General features: G+C 35.5%; 1 protein-coding gene across 25 annotated transcripts in view; it reads right to left on the bottom strand.

Annotated features, from left to right (window-relative positions):
• CDC42BPA (CDC42 binding protein kinase alpha) overlaps nucleotides 1-21,155 on the bottom strand; it is a 328,635-nt gene that overhangs the window by 96,400 nt on the left and 211,080 nt on the right. For all 25 annotated transcript variants that reach the window (NM_001366011.1, XM_017002580.3, NM_014826.5 and 22 more), the window contains 2 exons: nucleotides 14,735-14,982; nucleotides 5,629-5,734 (listed from right to left, as the gene is read on the bottom strand). In NM_001366011.1, coding sequence (NP_001352940.1) covers nucleotides 5,629-5,734; nucleotides 14,735-14,982 — 354 coding nt within the window. The remainder of the gene's footprint in view (nucleotides 1-5,628; nucleotides 5,735-14,734; nucleotides 14,983-21,155) is intronic.

Genomic DNA, 21,155 nt, shown 5'->3' on the forward strand with positions numbered 1-21,155 from the left:
TGTTTACTATTATGAGAATATTATGCTATGAAAATTCATATGTAAGTCTTAAGGGGACTATGCTTTCAATTCTTTTCAGTAAATAGGAGAATTGCCAGGTTGTATGGTAAGTATATGTTTAACTTTTTGAGAATTTTTGGAACTATTTTCTACAAGTGCTATGCCATTTTATACTCCTATGAGCAGTGTGTAAGTTCTAGTTCCTCCATATCATCATCAATAGTTGATACGGTCACGCCAATTGATTACAGCCATTCTCGAGGGTATACAGCAGTATCTTGCTGTGGTTTTAAGTGGCATTCTCCTAATGACGATCATCTTTTCATGTGCTTATTTGTTATTCATGTATCATCTTTCATGAAATGTCTATTCGGCTTTGTTACCCATTAAAACACTGAGTTGTTTATATTTTAAGAGGTTTTTTTTTCCTTTTTTTTTTTTTGAGACAGGGTCAAACTCTGGGTAGTGGTGTCATCTCCACTCACTGCAGCCTTGACTTCCTGGACTCACATAAATCCTCCCGTTTTAGCCTTCCAGGTAACTGGGACTACAGGCATGCACCACCTCACCCAGCTAATATTTAAAAAAGATTTTGTGTAGAGATAAGGTCTCACCATATTTCCCAGATTGGTTTTGAACTCCTGGGCTTAAGTGATCCTCATGCCTTAGACTCCCAAAGTGCTGGGATTATAGGTATGAACCACCACGTCCACCTTAAGAGTTCTTTACATATTATGAATACAAGTCTTTTTTCAGATAAATGATTTGGAAATATTTCCTCCCCATCTGTGCACGTCTTTTCATTTTCTTAATGTTCTTTTTAAATTTTGATGCTCAATTTATCATTACTCTTCTCTCATGCACTGTGCTTTTAATGTCATTATCTTGACATTTTTAACCCTGAATCACAAAGACTTTCTCCTATGCTTACCTTTTATATTTCAGATTGTGATCCACTTTGAGTTAATTTTTGTATAAGGTATGAGGTAAGGATCCAAGTTCATTTTTTCTCACATATGGATATCCAATTGTTCCAGTACTATATGAAAAGATTATCCTTTTTCCATTGAATTGCCTTGGCACTTATGCAGAAAATCAACTGACCATAAATGTAAGAACTTATTTTTGGACTCTTCGTTTCATTATGCCAGTACTACATGTTTTTGATTACTGCATTTTTATAGCAAGTATTAAAATTACATAGTGTTAATCCTCCGACTTCTAACTTTACTCAAAATATCTGAACTATTCTTGGTCTTTTCTATTCCTCTATAAGTTTAAGGGTAAGCTTGTGAATTCCAACAAAAAGCCTACCAGAATTTTGATAGGGATGTCCCAAAACCTATAGATCAATTTGGGGAGAATTGCTATCCCAACAATATTGAGTCTTCCAATCCATTAACATAGTTTATCTCTCCATTTGTTCAGATAGTCCTTAATTTATCTTAGCAGTATTCTGTAGCTGTCATCTTCCTCTGGTTAACTCCAAGACTTCTGAAATGATTGTTTTTGACAATTGCATTTGCTTTTTAGTATTTTTTTAGAAGATTAATCAATTTCTTCATATTAGCATAGCCAGAAGTCTATCAGCTGTTTTTGAGAGTTGTATGTGCAGCATCTTCTCTTACATTAATTCCTGCACTAATATCCATTTTGGATTACCATTATTTTTTATAGCCCTTCCACATTTGTGGTTGGGGTTTCAGTTGGAGATTTGCAAGAGAAGGAGGAAAATGCAAACTCTGCACTGTCATATTACAACAGTGACAAGCAGTTTTCAATAGATTGCTTAATGTATGTGGAATCGGTTAGAAAAAAGTTAATCTTTGCATTATTACCAAATAAAAGCATGGACTCCGGAGCCCGACTACCTGTACTCAAATCCTACTTCTTATTCTTGTGATTGGGAAAGTAGTTTAACCCTTCTTTGACTTAGTTTCCTGATCTATAAAATGGCAAGAACAAAAGGGTACACCTTAGAGAGTTATTGTGAAAATTAAATGAGTTATATGAAGTAATTCCAAAGATGACCTGCACATAGTAAATTTTAAGTATTAGTTCATTTTTCATGTTTGAAAATGAGGTTTTACTATTTGTACATTGACACATTTGACTTATAAGAAGACTACATAGGAATACGAAAAAATGCTCTTAACATTTTAAGTGAAAAGGCAGATTAGTAAGTGGATTGTATACATGATTGCAATTATGTAATAATAAGGATATACCTGGAAAGGAACATACAAAATTAAAATACCTGTTTTGTGGTGATCACATTATGGGTAACTTTCATGTTAAATATTTTCCACATTTTTTGAAAATATTTTAAAAACAAAACAAGTTTTAAAAACAAATTACAACTTTTCTTACTGTAAACAATTAATTTTACTCACTGGCATAAATGGCTGATTTTTAAAAATTTGTTATGAGATTGAAGGAAACCAGATGGCTAATTATATTTGCAATGATATATATATATATTTTTTGAGACAGACTGTCGCTCTGTCGCTCAGTCTGGAGTGCAGTGGTGCGATCTCGGCTCACTGCTACCTCCACCTCCTGGGTTCAAGTGATTCTCCTGCCTCAGCCTCCCTAGTAGATGAGACTACAGGCACGTGCCACCGCACCCGGTTAATTTTTGTATTTTTAGTAGAGATGGGGTTTCTCCACGTTGGCCAGGCTGGTCTCAAACTCCTGACGTCAAGCGATCTGCCCGCCTCGGACTCCCAAAGTGCTGGGATTACAGGTGTGAGCCACTGTGCCCAGCTGGCAATGAATTATCTTTTAATAGAAGGTGGGGTTTATAAGATTTACAAAAATGTCATCTAATTTTTAAAAATTTATTTAAACGTTTTTATTTTTGGAATTTAAAAACGTGAAAATCTGTAATATGTACCTTTCAAAATTAACCTAATAATTGCTTTCTGACTTCTAGATCTGTAATTCTGTCAAGAAGAGATCCAGTTCTCTTCAAGCTGGTTCCCAATGGAACAGTTGGTGTAGCAATGGCAAATGCTTCTGTGGTCATCCTTGGGGAAACTACCCACTTCTAACCAAATTGGAAAATGAATAAATGGAAAGTGAAGATGTACAGTGAAGTTCAGCTTATCACTACTGAGACAGACAGAATTAAAAAGGGAAAGGTAGACTGAGAATTAGGAAGAGAGAGATGCAAAAATTGAACAAAAGTTTGAGAAACAGAGCAGAGGTTCAAATGGAAATAGAGATTCCAGATCTCTCCCATTTCTTCAGGAATAAATACTGCCCTGTAACCACTGGACATTAAATATTTACCTACCATATGAATTTGCTCTTAAGGTGCTACTCATATCCTACCTATCTTTCAATTTAGCAAGAATGGGTAATTCCGTTTTTTTTTTTTTTTTTTTTTTTTAAAAACAAACTATCCTTCAGGCCTCATCAAGGAGGCTTCATTACATATACTAGGCCTAAGTATGTCCATTTCTCATGGATGTATTAGACTGCAACACAATTTTAATCAAATGAGAAGTTTTGAAAAATTCTCTCTAAATATGTATTTTGGATAAACTCAGCAGAAATGTATGGCTAACAATGAAATTAAACCAATAATTGAATGCAAAAATTTGATCTACATTCAAGTTATTTTCCAATACAATTTTTCTTAAAATGTAATAACATCTTTTAGTAGGTAACTCAACAGAATCTTAAAATTCTGTCTTATAGGACAAAATGACATTAAATTTTGTAATCAAATTAGTCAACACATGAAATAACAATTATTGACCTGCTTGGATAAAGTTCAAATATTGTTAGTCTTATTTCAATGGAAATAACTGTTAAAGTTCATGCACTATTCATGGCTTAAAAAATCAATTTATATTACTTACTGTTCAGCCACTTCCTACAATGTTTGTGTATGTTAGCTTTACAAGACTTTATGATGTGAACAGTATTCTTTCTCAAGTAGTTTTCAACTAGTCATTTTTTAAAGGCTTAGAAAACAAGCAGTCATTTAAAAAATGTTTTAAATACTTATTTAGCATTTTAAATGCTGAATAATCATGGGGAAAATAGTGAGAAATACAGAGCTATACAGAAAACAAAAGGAAGAGTCTCTATTTTACAAGTCAAGGTCTTTCAGTCTGTTATTGGAATAACTAATAATTGAACATAATATTTTTATTGGAGGAAAATACTAGATATCATTATAAAATACAATTAACCAGCCCTTATTATTTAAATTTAAGTAGAATTATTAAAACTTCTGGGCTGGGCGCAGTGGCTCATGTGGCCAGGCATGGTGGCTCACGCCTGTAATCCCAGCATTTTGGGAGGCTGAGGTGGGCGGATTGCTTGAGGTCAGGAGTTCAAGACCAGCCTGGCCAACACGGTGAAATTCCAACTCTACTAAAAGTACAAACATTAGCTGGGTGTGGTGGTGTGCGCCTGTAGTCCCAGCAACTCAGGAGGCTGAGGCAGGAGAATTGTTTGAACCCAGGAGGCGGAAGTTGCAGTGAGACGAGATTGCACCACCGCACTCCAGCCTGGGCGACAGAGCGAGACTGTATCAAAACAAACAAACAATAAACTTCTGGTTAATATTAGGATTTTTACAACTGCTTGCTAGGAATTAGCACAAGAAATGCAGAATGGTGGGAAGTTGGGAAATTTGAGATACTAAGTGGGAAAAAAATTCCTTTAAGTATTTGAAATTTTGTTCATGAATATGGCTACTTCTCAGTTCAATACATGATTCTGTATGCAAGCTAGAAATCAGGCTGAGATGGTTTCTTTAGATATCACCTACCCCTGGTATCATTTCTAGCTTTACTAGTTCTTCTTTGTGAATATGAATCAGCTGTTACAATTTCTCCAGGTTTGGCCTAATTGTCCCTGTTCTTGCCAAGGGACAGCCTTAACTTGGCCTGAACTTATTAGCCATCCGTGACGGGGTAAACGATGAATATATGAAAAAAAAGAGTAAGAAAGAGAACAGATGGTGATATGACTTCAATGTCTGTCTCCTTCGAATCTCAGGTTGAAATGTGATTCCCAGTGTTGGAGGTGGGGCCTGGGGGGAGGTGACTGGATCAGGAGGGCAGGCCCCTCATGAATGGTTTAGCATCATCCCCTTGGTGATAAGTGAGTTCTCACTGAGATCCGGTTGTTCAAAAGTGTGTGCACCTCCCCAGTCTCTCTCTTGCTCCCTCCCTTGCCCTTGCACCTTCTGCCATGATTGGAAGCTTCCTGAGACTCTCACCAGAAGTAGATGCTGGCACCACACTTCCTGTACAACCTGCAGAACCATAAGCCAAAATAAATCTATTTTATTTGTAAATTACCCAGTCTCAGGTATTCCTTTATAGTAACCCCAAAATGGACTAATTGGATGGAGAGTGAAATAAATAAGAGGCTCAAAAAAATATATGGGACAAAGAATAAAAGGAGATAAGCAAAACTCTCTCTTCAGAAGACTCCTATCAGATTATTATAACAAAGAATTGCATATATCATAGAAGCAACATAACTCAGGAGAAAGACTATTAAACAAAAATGTATGTCAAATATAAAGTTATACCCACAATTCCTATCAGTGTTGAACATCTAGCATGTACTACTCAATTAATATGAGATTAAATCACTCACCTTATCAAGTTCACTCGTCAGCTTTTTATTTTCTTCAGTTAACAACACTTTTTCTCGTTCATATTGTTGTTTGAACTCACTTTCAAATTCCTCCCTTTCACTTTGACTAACACAATTCAAAACACAAAAGGAAAAAGGGGAATTAAAGGTCATTTGAAAACTTGAAATTATTTTTCCAATAGTTACATAAAACACAAAATATCAGATTGAACTGCAGAAATGTTGTCCCCATAGAATACAGCTTGTTTATATATAATGACAGGCCTGGTGAAAGCATGTTCCAGGAATTTATATTACAATAATACTGATTTGTTCATTCATTTACCAACTATTTATGGAGTGCTTACTAGGTGCCAAGGAATTGTTGCAGGTCTTGACAGCTACTGCTCTCACAGAGCTTATATTCTGGTAGAGGCAGACTGCCAATGAAGAGTGAGTAAAATGAACTAATTTCAGATAATAAGTTCTAAATTGTATATATATGGCAATGCAAAAAGTATTTGGGAGAGGGTGGCTACTTTAGATTATATAGTCAGAGAACGTACATCAAGGTTGATAATGGACCAAAATGAAAATAATAATTGCCATTTGCTTCACATGCATTACGTTCTATCCAAAGGCAAATTAGTTTGAGACCAAATTAGATACTTTTCTTTGTGTATTTCCACCACAATATTCTTACAAAATACAAAGTTGCTGGGCCCTTATTTAGTATTAGGCCAGAGCCACTTCCTAGTGTTATCAATTTGATTAACAATAGTATTCCAAACATTTTGTTCATAATTAGAATTTATGAGTTCAGAAATTTTAAAAAATTTACTTCGAAATAATTTCATTATTATTAGCAAAGTTACAAGAATAGTACAAAGAATTTTTGTATACTCTTAACCCAGATTCCCCAATTGTAAATATTTTACTGCATTTTCTCTATTATTGTGTATATACCGATTTTATTAGTGTTCTTCAGAACCACTGAGAGGCAGCTAGCTGCAGATATTATGCCCTATTACCCCTAAATACTCCAGTGTGTATCTTTCAAAGTCAAGGACACTCTACCATAATCACGAAGCAATCCTCTCAATTTAAAAAAATCAACATTACTAGAACACTTACCATCTGAATTCACAGACACAATTCAAGTTATCCCTACCATGTCTCCTTTTCTTATGAAGCCCAGGATCCAACTGAGAAACATGTGTTGCATTTAGTAGTCATGTCTCTTCAATTTTCCTTGGTCTAGAACAGTTCCTCAGTCTTCCCTATCTCTCACAACAGTTTTATAATGTATAGGTCTCTAATTATGTACAGTGACACTCAACCTGGGGCCATCTGATGTTTATGACTAGTCTCAAAGAATTCATTTTTGGCTGGAATACCACAAGAACAATGTTTCTCAGTGCATCCCATCAGAAGGTGCAAAATGTTGATCTGCACAACACTGACCAAACCTCTTAGGCTAAGGGTGTGGATTCAGAATGAGTGCAGTCCCCAAGACATGAGATGTGAGAAAGAAAAGAAACTTTTTATGAGAAATGCGAGCCCCTTTAAATTAGCAGGGCCAGACAGGCACTGAAATGTGACTGCAGTCACATCTTATTCTCCCAGTTGAGCTAAGTAATCTACCAGCTATGTGGACTCCAGACTGAGTGTCACCAATAGCTATAAATTAACCCAACAATGCCATATTCTGGACACCATAACTCATACCCTATAGTTCAACAATGTACAGCCAATCATTAATCAATGTTATTTCTGCAAACCAGTGAGAACTCCTGACCAAAGACTTTTGTATGTTCCCTCTCCTGATTTTTCTTTAAAAACCTGAGCCTCTTTTTTGTTCTCTGGAGCACTTCTCTGTGTTTCCTGGGCTGCAGTCCTCAACCTTGGCCCAAATAAACTCTATATTAATTTTGTCTCAGTTTCTGTCTTTTGGACAACATATTGGAACCTTCAGGCAGCAAAAGACAGTGCTGAGAACTCTGAACTCTCGTATTGCTTCAAACCTCTGCAGGTAGAAGCAATCTCATCCCCTTCCTCAAAGCAGCTATAACCTGAGGCAACCAACCTGTTTTTGCATAAATCATTTATTAACTTCACCTGAAATAGTTACATCAAAAAGGGAGGCCAACTATCTTTAACACCTACCCAATCACTTGTCATTGTCTTCAGGCCTATGATGACAGTTAAGATCACAGCAGAGACTAGATATAAAAGCAATGAAGGTGTTAAAGCATTTTGGCAATTTATATTGGAAGGAGTATGGGCAGCATACAGAAATGAATTCTAAGAGCTGAGAAAGAAAATAAACTTTTTTTATCTGAGGAATGTGAGACCATTTAAATTATCAGGCCCAGAGAGGTATTTAAAATGTGAGAGCAGTCACATCTCACTCCCACCTTGAGCTAAATAATCACCTCTTGAGGCCACTTGCTATGTGGGCTCTAAACTGATGCCAAGTAGCCATAAAATGCCATACACTGGAGACCATGACTCACACGCTATAGTTCAACAATGAATAGCCAGTCACTAATCAATGTTATTTTGTAAACCAGTGAAAATGCCTGTCAAACAACTTTGTATCAGCCCAGCCCTTGCCTCCTTTTGCTTTTAAAACCCTACTTGTAACAAAGACCTAATGGAGCACTCCTCAAGGTAACCTGGAAGTGTGTTCCTGGCAGCTGTCCTCACTTTGGCTCAAACAAACTCTTTAAACATATCCTGTGCCTCAGCTTCTTCCTTCAGGTCAGAAGGGTGTTACCCCAAGGTGGGTAAATAAAAAATTAAATACAGCCAAATTTATCAAATGCACATACTCATCTAGGATTTGTGGTTTAATGTGTTGACTCAATATTCAGGTGTAGTTTTTCACTGCTAGGCTGAGTAATTGAAGCCTGGACTTTGGACCCAATAGTGGCCTACAGTCAATTAGCTCGAGATATTTGACTTACTGAGCATAAAGGGTCTACTGGCTCAAAGAGATGAGAATGTCAGAGTGGACCTATTATGTGCAACCTGGTCAGCCACCCACAAAGCACTCCTTTCACCAAGGCATTAATAAATACACCAGTGAGAGGGCACATTAGCATCCTGGAGAAACACTATGGTAGGTGTCTTCAGATGACAGTCTGCAAATGACAGCAGAAAATGCCAGAATGGAACTGCATTGCCTGATTTTATTGAAAATAACAGTATTCCAGATTGGCTATTGCACCATCTGCTTTACTTATAGCCTGATGCTTCCAAATCCTCATCCTTTCCCTTAAAATTAAAAGTCACACTCATTTACTTTTAATGAGTTCAATGAACGTATACTTAATAACATCTATTTGTGTTTCATTTGGAAATCTGAGGAAAACATCTGTGATGTGTAGACTTCCTATGCTCACCTTATTTGATTATGTATATACTAGAAAGCATGGTGAAAGGAGAGGTTAGGGAAAGAGGATATATGAACCACAAAATGATTCCTTGTTCTCAACCCTAGATTGTATTAAAAGTTCAATTAAATTTCCAACAGTTCTATCAATACTTTCAGCCATTCCTTCTTACATCTACATATATACACATTATTATTATAATATTACAAAGCTTATTTAAAATGATAGTTCTGTGGATCATGATGACTTATTTACCCTTAGAAGTAAACACAGTTTTAATAAGACTTAAAAAATCTTCTAAGGAAAAAAGGGGAATAAGTTCTTTGGTTTTTTTTTTTTTTTTTTTGAGACAAGAGTCTCACTCTGTATCCCAGGCTGGAGTGCAGTGGTGCGATCTCAGCTCACTGCAATCTCCGCCTTTCAGGTTCAAGCAATTCTCTAGCCTCAGCCTCTGGAGTAGCTGGGATTACAGGCACATGCCACTGTGTCTGGCTAATTTTTGTATTTTCAGTAGAGATGGGGTTTTACAATATTGGCCAGGCTGGTCTCGAACTCCTGACCTCAGGTGATCCGCCCGCCTCAGCCTCCCAAAGTGCTCAGATTACAGGCATGGGCCACCGTGCCCAGCAAGGAATAAGTTTTTGAAGACTATATTGTTATGTGACAAACAGGCATATATCTACAGCAATTTGATGGATGCTATAGGATGTTAGCAATAAATGAAATTCCATGTGGATCAGTTCTGGGTAATTTTATATGATTGCTTTCTGGTGAACAAACAATGTAAGTAATGGTTGATCTTAAAAGTGTAATCTTAAAAATCTCCTACATAACATTATTGAAGATAAATTATAATTTAAATGACAAATTCAAGGAAAATAAGCCAACCTCCATCTCCAAGCAAATTTGTCACTTCACTACTATCTATAGACAGATGTTAAATTTAGTTATGTTTAGGAAGCTTTCCTAACACAGAAGCAACTTCAATAAAAAAACTGCAAAGACTTTCAGAAAAATATGTACACAAATAAATTGAGTAAAATTTTCATGTAAAACCATTCTTTTTCCTGTTAGCATTAAACAAGCTTAAGTCTCTTCCATATTAAAAATAAAGAAACTCTCCCCATACCCTGTGTCACAATTCATTTCCTAAATCCTTGTCTTCCCACTCACTGGTAAGCATCCTGAAACAGATTCTGTAACTACTTTTTCATCGCTTAGTTGCTCTCCACCACACCAAAATCTGGCTTCTGCCTCCACCATCTCAAGAAAACAGCTCTCTCAAAACTCAACACTGCCTGTGATTACATCCAACCTGCTGGCCACTTTTGACAGTGTTGTCCACTCTTGCCCTCTTGACATGCTGTCTGGCTTTGACTTCAGGGATCCCATGCTCTCCTAGTTTTAGTCTACATTCCTGGCTTCTTTTCAGCTGTCTTTGTGACTCTTCCATCCTTCCTGTAAATATCAATGCTCCTCAGTATTCTGTCTTAGGTGCTGTCTCTTCCCTCTCTACACATGCTGCCTGAGTTAGCTCATCAATGACACCAGCTGGTTTTATTTATGTATTCAGCTGATGATCTCTGAATCTACACTTGAAGCTTTTGTGGCCTTCAAACTGACCTGACATCTCCACAAAGATGTCTTCCAAGCACCACAAGTTCAATATGCCCAACTCAACAAGAGAGCTCAACACACAGACAAGTTCCCACCACCCCATCTATGTCCATATACTCTACTTTCTCTTTTCATGATAGGTTAAAAAAAACAAAACAGGATCGAGTAAGGCCAACCCCTTCATTATGAACATCCTCAAGTACTTTGCTCCAGTACTTTCCTCCTCTCCTCTCTCCTCCAATCATCTATAATTTCTATCAGATTACAAGCATGCTGTTATTTTTTCCATCTTAAAACACACACACACACCCACACAACAAAGTACAATAGTTTTACCTCTATGTTCTGCCTCTAACTGCTCTCCTTCCAGTCTCTTTTGATCCTACTGTGGGGTCTCTGCCTCTACTTTTCCACAAAATTGTTCTTATCAAAGGCACCAATGACCTTCATATTGCTATTGCTAAACTCAATGTCATTATTTAGTCCTTATCTCATTTGATTCAGAACTCATTTTATTTGACATGCTGACAGACTTTATATGCTTTCTTCACTTGGTTTCCAGTGTTACAGTAGGCAGTCAGGCAGACATAAGCAGGACAGGAGGACACCCCCAACCAGGAATGGCCACATCAGGTGATGATCAGGTGGTTGTTAAACTGTCTCTCTAAAATAATAATTGGTCACACCTGGTGCCAGGAAAAGGCAGTCTACCACTAGATAGAAAAGCCTGAAACTGGTGATCAGCAGCTTCCCAATAAGACTCAGGAGTTAGGCAAGTGGGCTCAAGCATGCACACTAAGAGGCAAAATGGTGGAGTTTAACTGGTGGCATATGACCTTCTTCTAGGAGCACTCAACCAGTCAGGGAAGAATGCCTCAAATGAGCACGTGTACAACTTCAGTAAACACACTGTGCATGCAGCCCCTCCCAAGTGCTGGTAGGTCACTGTGCATGTGGACAGCCCACCCCAAGGGAAGAATCAGAGAAGGGATGCAACCCCACAGAAGCATGCCAAGTCAAAGGTTAAACACCAAGTCAAAGGTTAAATCATACACTTGAATCTCTCAAGTCACCCACTTAGCCCAATTCCAAGTGTACTTTGCTTCCTTTTATTCCTGTTCTAAAGCTTTTTAACAAACTTTCACTCCTGTTCTAAAACTTGCCTCAGTCTCTCCCTGTCTTATGCCCCTTGGTCTAATTCTTTATTCTGAGGAGGCAAGAATTGAGGCTGCTGCAAACACATATGGATTCGGCGCTGCTAACACAAGGACACTAAATTTGCCTGTTATTATGCTGTCATTCTCACTGCCCTTTCTCTATCCACTCTGCTGGTTCCTCATCATCTCTTGACTTCCAAAAATTGGAGTACCCCAAGGCTCAGTTCTAAGAAATTTTTTTCTATCTATATCCATTCACTAAGTGTTTTCATACAGTCTCAGAGGTTTAAATGCCATGGAAGTGATAAATATTCTCAGGATTTTACCTCCTGCCCCCAAATCCAGGCTGGTCTATACATCAGCCTATTTGACATCTCCAACTGAATGTCTAATAAGCATCTCAACTGTAACTGTTTAAAATGAGCTCTTTCTGTTTATGAAAGAGTCTTGTCAGGGGAAAAAATGTGCCCTTGATAACACTCCCAATCCCAAACTTGCCTCTCCTGTAGTCGTCCTTTCTAGTAATATATTCTCCCAACTGCTTGGACCAAAAACCTTAGTATCATCCTTGAGTCTTCCTTTTTCTCCCTCATCCCATACCTAGTCCATCAATACATTGCTATCTTTACCTTTAAAGATCATTAAAATTCAAACCCTTCTTATCCCTTTTGCCACTACTCTAGGCCAAAGCCACTGTCATCTTCTGCTTGGATTACTTCAATCGTCTTCTAAGTGGTCTCATCACTTTTGCTCTTACCTAATTCAGACTACTCTTAACCTAGTATTCAGAGTGATCCTATTAAAACACAAATCAGTTGTCACTTTTCTGCTCAGAATTCTACAATATAGTCATGTAATGCATAATGACATTTTGATCAACTATGGACTGCCATTAGTCCATAATGCATTAGTCCATAACTGCGTAAATTTTTCAACTTTATTATAATCTTATGGGAACACTATGTGGTGTTGAAAAATTCCTATTACCTGTGATATTGTAACTGTTTTAAGTACTAATGTAAAGCATTACTCACGTGTATGTGGTGATGTCAGTGTAAACAAACCTACTGTGCTGTCGGCAGTATAAAAGTATAGCACATACAATTATGTACAGTACCTAATACTTAATAATAAATGACTGTGTTACTGGTTTATATATTTACTATACTTCGTATCGTTATCTTAGAGTATACAGCTTCTACTTAATATTTTTTTAAAAGTTAACTGTAAAACAACCTCAGGCAGGTCCTTCAGGAAGTATTCCCGAAGAAGGCACTGTTGTCATAGGAAATGACAATTTCATGTATGTAACTGTCCCTGAAGACCTTCTAGTTGTGACTCACCGAGAGCAACTTCCAGTCCTGTAAGCTTCATTCATGGTAAGTGCCTTATATAGGTGTACCCTTTTTAAAAAAAATCTTGTATATAATCATATAACAATACCTTTCTCAGAAAATATCCCTGGTGTTAAGCAATGCATGACTGTAATTCCCTGCAATAGTTTTACTCAGAATAAGAAACTATGCATCCACTAAATATGACTTACAAGGCTTTACATGATGTGGCCCCCTGTTGCCTCCTCTCTCGTCTCTACTATTCTTTTCCCATCATTCTACTTGAGCCACAATGGCCTCCTCACTATTTTGTAAAAAACTTATTCTTCTCCATGTAGAATGCTCTTTTCACACATCTGTATAAACATCTCTTCTTGTTTTAATCTTTAACTAAGAAATCAATCACCTTCTCAGTATAGTTTTCCCTGGCCATCCTGTATTTATATAATTTAACCCTCCCTTGAATGCTTCATAGAACGGATTTCCTCTTACTTTTTTGTTCTTAGCATTTATCATTATCTAATGTATTCTATGTTTTACTTATAGAAAGTTCTATGGGACAGGAATTTTTTTCATTGTTATTGTCTTTTTGTACCAGTCCCTACAACAGTGCGTCAGATATGGTAGGTTAAAAAATATTACTGAATGAATAAATGCACCAAATTGAATAAATTTGGGCTTCCAATATAAGCTGAGAATGACAATAACATATATTCAGTTGCCTGAAATCTAGAAAGCTGAGTATAACTGATAATTTCTCCTGCTCCCTCATTTCTCACAGCTGCTTATTACGTTCTCCAGGTTCTATCTTCTTAGTAGATGGAATCCATCCACTTCTCTCCATCTTCACTATCACCACCTGAGGCCCACACCTCATCTCTCGCAGCTGGATTCCTACCTCCAGCCTGCTCCTCCCACTTCACTCTCCACACAGTAGCAAGAGTGGTGATTCAAAAATGTAAATATAATCATGTCACCTTTCTTCAATGGCCTGAGGATAATGTGCAAATGCCTTGTATTCTGTCATGACTTTGCCTCTATTTTACTTTCCAGCTTCATTTCTCACCACTCTCATCTATTTATGTTTCAGTCATAGTAAACAGCTATCATTTTCTGAATGTGGCATGTCCCCCTTTTCCTTTAGATCTTAGCACATCCTCCCTGGACACTCCTCCCTAGCTACTTCTTTCTTACTAATTATATCTCAGCTTAGAAGTTTATCGTTTCTTTCTTTCTTTTTTTCCCTGGTAGAGATAGGGTTTTACTATGTTGCCTGGGCTGGGCTTGAACTCCTGGGCTCAAGTAAGCCTCCTTCCTCAGCCTCTTAAGTAGCTCAGATTATAGGTGTGTGTGTGTGTCTGCCATCATACCCAGCTAGTGTGTGTGTGTGTGTGTGTGTGTGTGTGTGCGTGTGCCATCATACCCAGCTAGAAGTAATTTTGTTCAGAATTATCATCCCATTTGCTTTTCTATCATGCTGTATTATAATTTTCTATCTGCCAATCCTGACTTTGGTCTCCTTTAGGTCTAGGATATGTTTATTGTCTATGTATCTCCAATACTTGACACATAACAGGTACTCAGTAAGTATTTACTGTATAGTAAATAATGTGATTCTTACCTTTCTCTTCTGGTTTTTTCCAATTTGTCTTTTAAAATCATAATTTCTTTGTTGAGAGCAAGTTGCTGACCTTCTGAATCATGCAGTTCTTTCTTAAGATTTTTTATTTCATTTGCATGTATTCCTTCTCTTTTAGATAATTCTTCTTCATAAAAGATACTTTTCTTTTCCAAATCAGTCTTTAGTTTGGTTATCTCTTGCTGATGTTCTATGCTGCATACTCCTGGTGAGTAACTAATTTGTTTTTGCTATAGAAATAATAACAAAAGATTAGTGCATCTACAAGAATAATAAAATATTTAAATAACTTCTTTCTGTAATATAAATGAGTATTCATATAACTGCATTTTTTGTACATCCTAACAAAAATAAAATTCTATGTTAAATCTACTAACTTTTTGCCTGCCATATATTGCAAATATTTTCCTCAGTTTACATTCCTTAATAGTCTGTCTTTGTTGCTGTTTTTAAAAAGTTTTCTTCACACAAAGATTACATATTTATTCAAATTTTTGGCTGGGACTTACATGATTTCTTGCTTTACATTTAAATTTCTAATTTATTTACAATTATTGTTGGTGTATGGAGTGAGAGAAAAATCTAACTGCATCCTAAATCTGATGAAGAACTGATAAAAAGTTTTAAGGATATCTGTGTCTTAAAAAAATTAAAATGGGCAAAGGAATGGTAGAGTAGAATGTACAAAAATAAAGACAGAAACCTTTTGCAATAGTCCTGTGAGAAATGGCAAAGGTCTAAACTAACATCTCCTTCATATCTACACTAGAAAAAAAACGGTAGGTCTCTTCACTTTTAGGTATGATTAAGAAGGAGAAGAAATTGGGTTGAAATCTACCTTTTTAGAAATAAGGCTGAAATATCCTCTCAGTAATAAGAAAGAAAAGAAAATGTAAAGTCCAAAGATTCTTCCAGGTACTGCCTAAAGGGTAAACAGAAACATACAGACTACAGATTATGACTGTAAGATTTCCTAAGCTTTGTAATTTTCCAAAGGTCATTAATTTGTTATATCTTATCTGTCTCCCCAGTTGCAATAAAACTTTTAAAACTAAAAGAATCTATGCACTTAAGTTTAGGGACAACAAAGAATCAAGATCTGGAGGTCACTGTATTCTTTTTTGAAGTCAGTCATAAGGGCAATAAAAACTGGTAAGCGTAGTTGACTTAAAGTAGAAGGAAAAATACCCTGACTCCTTCATGTTTGAAGTATATAATTTAAAAAGAGCAAAGGAAGTGATGTGGGCCAGAGAAATAGCCCTGGCGTGTCCACTGCAATATTAACCATTTATCGAAAAAATACTTTTCATGTGCCAGATCCAGATCGTCCAATGGTTTATGAGGCAGCCTAACATGCAAAAGTCTGCTTAACTTGAGAAGAACCAGAGCAAGGCAGATTCTTGCTCTGAAGCATCGCTATGAAAATGAGAACTAAATTGACATCTGTGGCACTTACCACTGACCCGTACTATTCTTGCATTTTTCTAACTACTTAAAGAAAAGAACACTTTTAGTTTGATGTTCTGTTTATTGTGATGACTGTTGGGATGGCAGCAGCATGTACAGTAAGTTTCAAGAAAAAAAAATTCCCCTGAAATCAAAACCTAACAAAGATACCAACAATTATGGTTACAGATGCATATCACTTATTGATAAGAATGTGAAAAGCCAAATAGAACACAAATGATATTATTAAACCATCTGTAAAAAAGAAAAACCTACCAAGAAATAATAGGTTTTATTGCAGACACCGAAGATAATTTAATGTCAGCAAACTTATTAATAAATGTGTCATAAAATGAATTATTTTAATAGATTAAATTTTAAAATCCAAATGATAATCTCAGTATGTAAAAATCCAAATGATAATCTCAGTATGTACCCCTACCCAATAGCATTTTATAAAATCCAGTAATAATTCCAAATACTACTCTAAGTCCCACAATAAAACCATTACATAAAAAAAACCAGTAATTCTTTTAATTTAAAAGTATCCATTTTGAGCTATCAAAATACTATTTACGTGAAACATCAGAGATACATCGAGTAAATTCAGAAATATCAACAAAAAGGATGTCTTCCATTACCACTCTTATGCGACATTCATTTCAGACCAACATATAAAATTGTCTCTCTGACCAACATGTAAAATAGTTAAAAAAATGAATATTGTAAAGAAAAATAACATATTTATCATTTCTATTTAATTGTTCACCCAGAAAATACAAATAAATCTAGTGAAATGTGTTAGAATTGATAGTTGAGTAAAGCAATAGCATATAAGATAAACACAAATCAATACTTCCAGATATTAAAATAAGCAATAAACATAACAAAAATTTCATTGTTAATTGAAGGATAATAGTGAGAAATTTCTGATTTATATGAGAAACCTACAAGTCTTGAAACAAAGTATTTAAAAGGGAAGATTAAATGTACATATTCAATATTTTTCATGTTATCTTCCACATAATTCTAATTAAAAGTTCTTTATAAATGTGGAGATAGAAGGGCATGGAGACATGTTTCTACTCCGTGGATAAGAATAAACTGGTAAAAATGTCAAAGAAAATACCAAGGGGTGCATGGGAAAATATACTTTTCAAATATTAAAACATACTATAACTCTTTACTAAAGTATCACTATGACAGATCTGCTCCCCGAAATAATTTAATTCAATATATGAGACATCTTCAGTCATTGGGTAAGGCAATGATTAATAAATGAAATTGGAATCACCAGCTAGCAATAAAATAACAAAAATCAATCTCATGTCATACCATTTAGCAAAACAAACTCCTAATAGATTAAACAGTTAATTATTTTTAGACCCAACAAACATCCAAAAGAAAGCAGAATTAAATACTTATCAAAACTCTGAGAGAAGGACAAGCCAAGCTTTGAAGCGACAGAAGAAACACTGAGAAAAACCAACAAATCTTCTATAATTTTAAAAAGAAACAAGATCAAAATTAAGGGATACATGATAAATTGGTTAAATAGTTGCTGAAAACACTTCAAAAAGTAAAATTTTTACTGTGCAGAGAGTTTTATGAATTGGTAAGAAAAACATTAAGACTACTAAATTAAATTAGCAAATAAAGAGAGAATTTATGAACAGAAAATATTATTAATAAAACAATCCACTAATAAACCAAGAAATAAAGAGGTACAACTTTTTTGGCCTCTCGTATTTGCAAAGATTTGTGGGATTTATCACATAAATTAGCCTTAAAATAATCGCTAACTTCGTTTCTGGGTGCCTGTTCTAAGAAAATGATACAGAAAAAGCAGTGCATAAAGGTGTTTTTGGCAATTATAATACTGCAAAGAATTTTTAAAGGTAACAATAGAAAATTGGTTATGCGGATAGTCTTCTTGAATTATTTATAATCACTAAAATTATGTTTGTGATAATTTTGTAATAACAAATAGAAATAACTAGGTATGTGAAAATTCTTCTTGAACTACTTAAAATCATTAAAATTATGTTTGTGACAATTTGGTAATGAAAGTAAAAATGCTTATTACACTATTAAGTGAAAAATGTAAGTGTATGGGTTGAACTGTATTACCTTCAAATTCCTATGTTGAAGCCCTAACCACCAGTACTTCAGAATGTAACCTTATTTTAAAATATGGTTTTAAGAGGTAAATCGAATCAAAACGGTAAGGCACACCCCTAATTCATTAAGACTGCGTCCTTATAAAAGGAGAAATCTGGACACAGACACACAGGGAGAACTCCATGTGAACATGAAAGCAGAGATCAGGGTGATGTATCTTACAAGCCAAGCAATACCAAAGACTGTCAGCATGCCACCAGAAGCCAACCATACCAATATCTTGATTTTGAACTTCTAGCCTCCAGAACTGAGACAGTTCTGTGTTTTAAGCCACCCAGTGTGTGGTACTTCACAACAGCATCCCCAACAAACTAACACAATAGGGAAAAAAAAATACCTCTAGTAACATCACAGCATCATATATAACAACTTAAAAGTTTTCTTTAAAAATTTTTTTTATTGAAATGTGATTCACATATCATACAAATCACTCATTTAAAAGTGTAAAATTCAATTATCTTGTTATACTGCATTAATAGTTTTTAAGTGGTAAAACAACATACAACAAAATTTTCCATTTTAACCATTCTACATGCACAATTCAATGGCATTAATTACATTTGCAATGCTATATAAATATCACCAGTATCTATTTCCAAAATTTTTTCATCATTCCAACAAAAAATTCTGTAACCATTAAGAATTAACTCCCTGTTCCCCACTCCACCCAAACCCTGGTAACCTCTATTCTACTTTGTATCTGTGAATTTGCCTATTCTCTTTTTTTTTTTTTTTTTTTTTTTGAGACAGGGTCTCACTCTGTTGTCCAGGCTGGAGTACACTGGCACAATCATGACTCACTGCAGCCTCGACCTCAAGCAATCTTCCCACCTCAGCCTCCTGAGTAGCTGGGACTACAGGCATCTACCACCATGCCCAGCTAATTTCTTAATTTTCTGTAGAGATGGGGTCTCACTCTGTTGCCCAGGCTGGTTTTGAACTCCTGGGCTCAAGTAATCCTCCTGCTTCGGCCTCCCAAAGTGCTGGGATTACAGTCATGAGCCACTGCATCGGGCCTGAATTTGCCTATTCTAAATTATTTCATATAAGTGGAATCATATAGTATTTGTCCTGTTGTGTCTGGCTTCTTTTACTTAGTACGTTTTCGAGATTTAGCCATGTTGTAGCATGTATCATGACTTCATTCCTTTTCATAGATAAATGATACTCCATTGTATTTATATACCACATTTTCTTTATCCATCTGTTGATGAACACTTGGATTGTTTCCACCTTTTGGCTACTGCAATAATACTTCAATAAACACTTGTGTAAAGCATCTATTAGAGTTCCTATGTTCAAATATTTTGGGTATATACCTAGGAGTGGAATGGCTGGATCATGTGGTAGTTCTGTTTGACTTTTTGAGGAACCACCACATTGTTTCAAAAGTGGCTACATTATTTTATACTTTCTTTAGCAACATATAAGGGTTCCAATTCTCTACCTTCTTGTTAAGACCTACTTTCTTTTTCTTTCTTTTTAATTTTAGCTATCCCAGTACATATGAAGTGGTATCTCATTTTGGTTTTAATTTGAATTCTCCTAGTGATTAGTAATGTTGAGCATTTTTTAATTTGCTTATTGACCATTTATATATATCTTCTCTGGAGAAATGTCTATTCAAGTCTTTTGCCCATTTTTTGATTGAGTTGTCTTTCTGTTGTTGAGCTGTAGTTCTTCATATAATCTGGATATTAAATTGTTATCACATATATGATTTGCAAATATTTTCTTGCATCCCTTAAGCTGTCTTTTTACTTTCTTAATAATGTCCTTTGATACCATACACATTAAGTTTTAATTTTGATAAAGCCCAATTTATACTTTTTTTGTTATTTATGCATCTATATTAATAAGAAACGTTGGTCTGTAATTTTGTGATTTTTTTGTCTGGCTCTGGTATTCAGGGTAATGCCAGCTTCACAGAATCAGTTAGGAAGTGTTTCCTCCTCTTCTATTTTAAAAAGAGTTTGAGAAGGATTGGTGTTAATTCTTCTTTCAGTATTATTTCTAAGAATCCATTATCAAATCCAAGGTCTCTTGAGTTTTATAGTTGTAGCTGTAAGATTTCAGTTGCTGATCCAATTTGAGTTAATTTGTATAACTGGTGTGATGCAGGTGACCAATTTCATTCTTTTGTAGGTTAATATTCAGTTGTCCCAAAACATCTGTAGAAACTATTCTTTCCCCATTGAATGGACTTAGTACATTTGTCAAAAATTAATTGACCATAGATACATGCATTTATTTCTGTATTCTTAATTATATTTTATTGGTCTGTATGTCTATCCTTATGACAGTACCACATTGTTTTGATTACTGTAACTTTGTAGTAAGTTCTGAAGTATGACTCCTCCAACTTTGTCCTTTTTTTATGATTGTTTTGGCTGTCCAGGTCCTTTGCAATTCCATATGAATTTGAGGATCAGCTTTTTATTTCTGCAAAAAAGACTTTGAATTTTGATAGGGACTGAATTGAAGCTGTACATAACTTTAGGTAGTAGTACTGCATCTTAACAATATTAAATCCCACTATTCATAAACATGAGATGTCTTTCCATTTATTTAGATTTTCTTTAATTCCTTTCAGCAATGTTTTGTCATTTTTAGTTGGATAAATGTGTCCCAAGGGATTTTATTCCTTTAGATGCAATTGTTAAGTGGAATTGCTTTCTTAACATTCTTTGCAGACTGTTCGTGCTGCCTTATAGAAACACAACTGATTGCTATGTGTTGATCTTGCAGCCTGGAACTTGGGTGAATTTATTTTAAG

This window comes from Homo sapiens, chromosome 1 (assembly GCF_000001405.40).
Source record: "Homo sapiens chromosome 1, GRCh38.p14 Primary Assembly".
In the NCBI taxonomy this organism is placed as follows: Eukaryota; Metazoa; Chordata; class Mammalia; order Primates; family Hominidae; genus Homo; species Homo sapiens.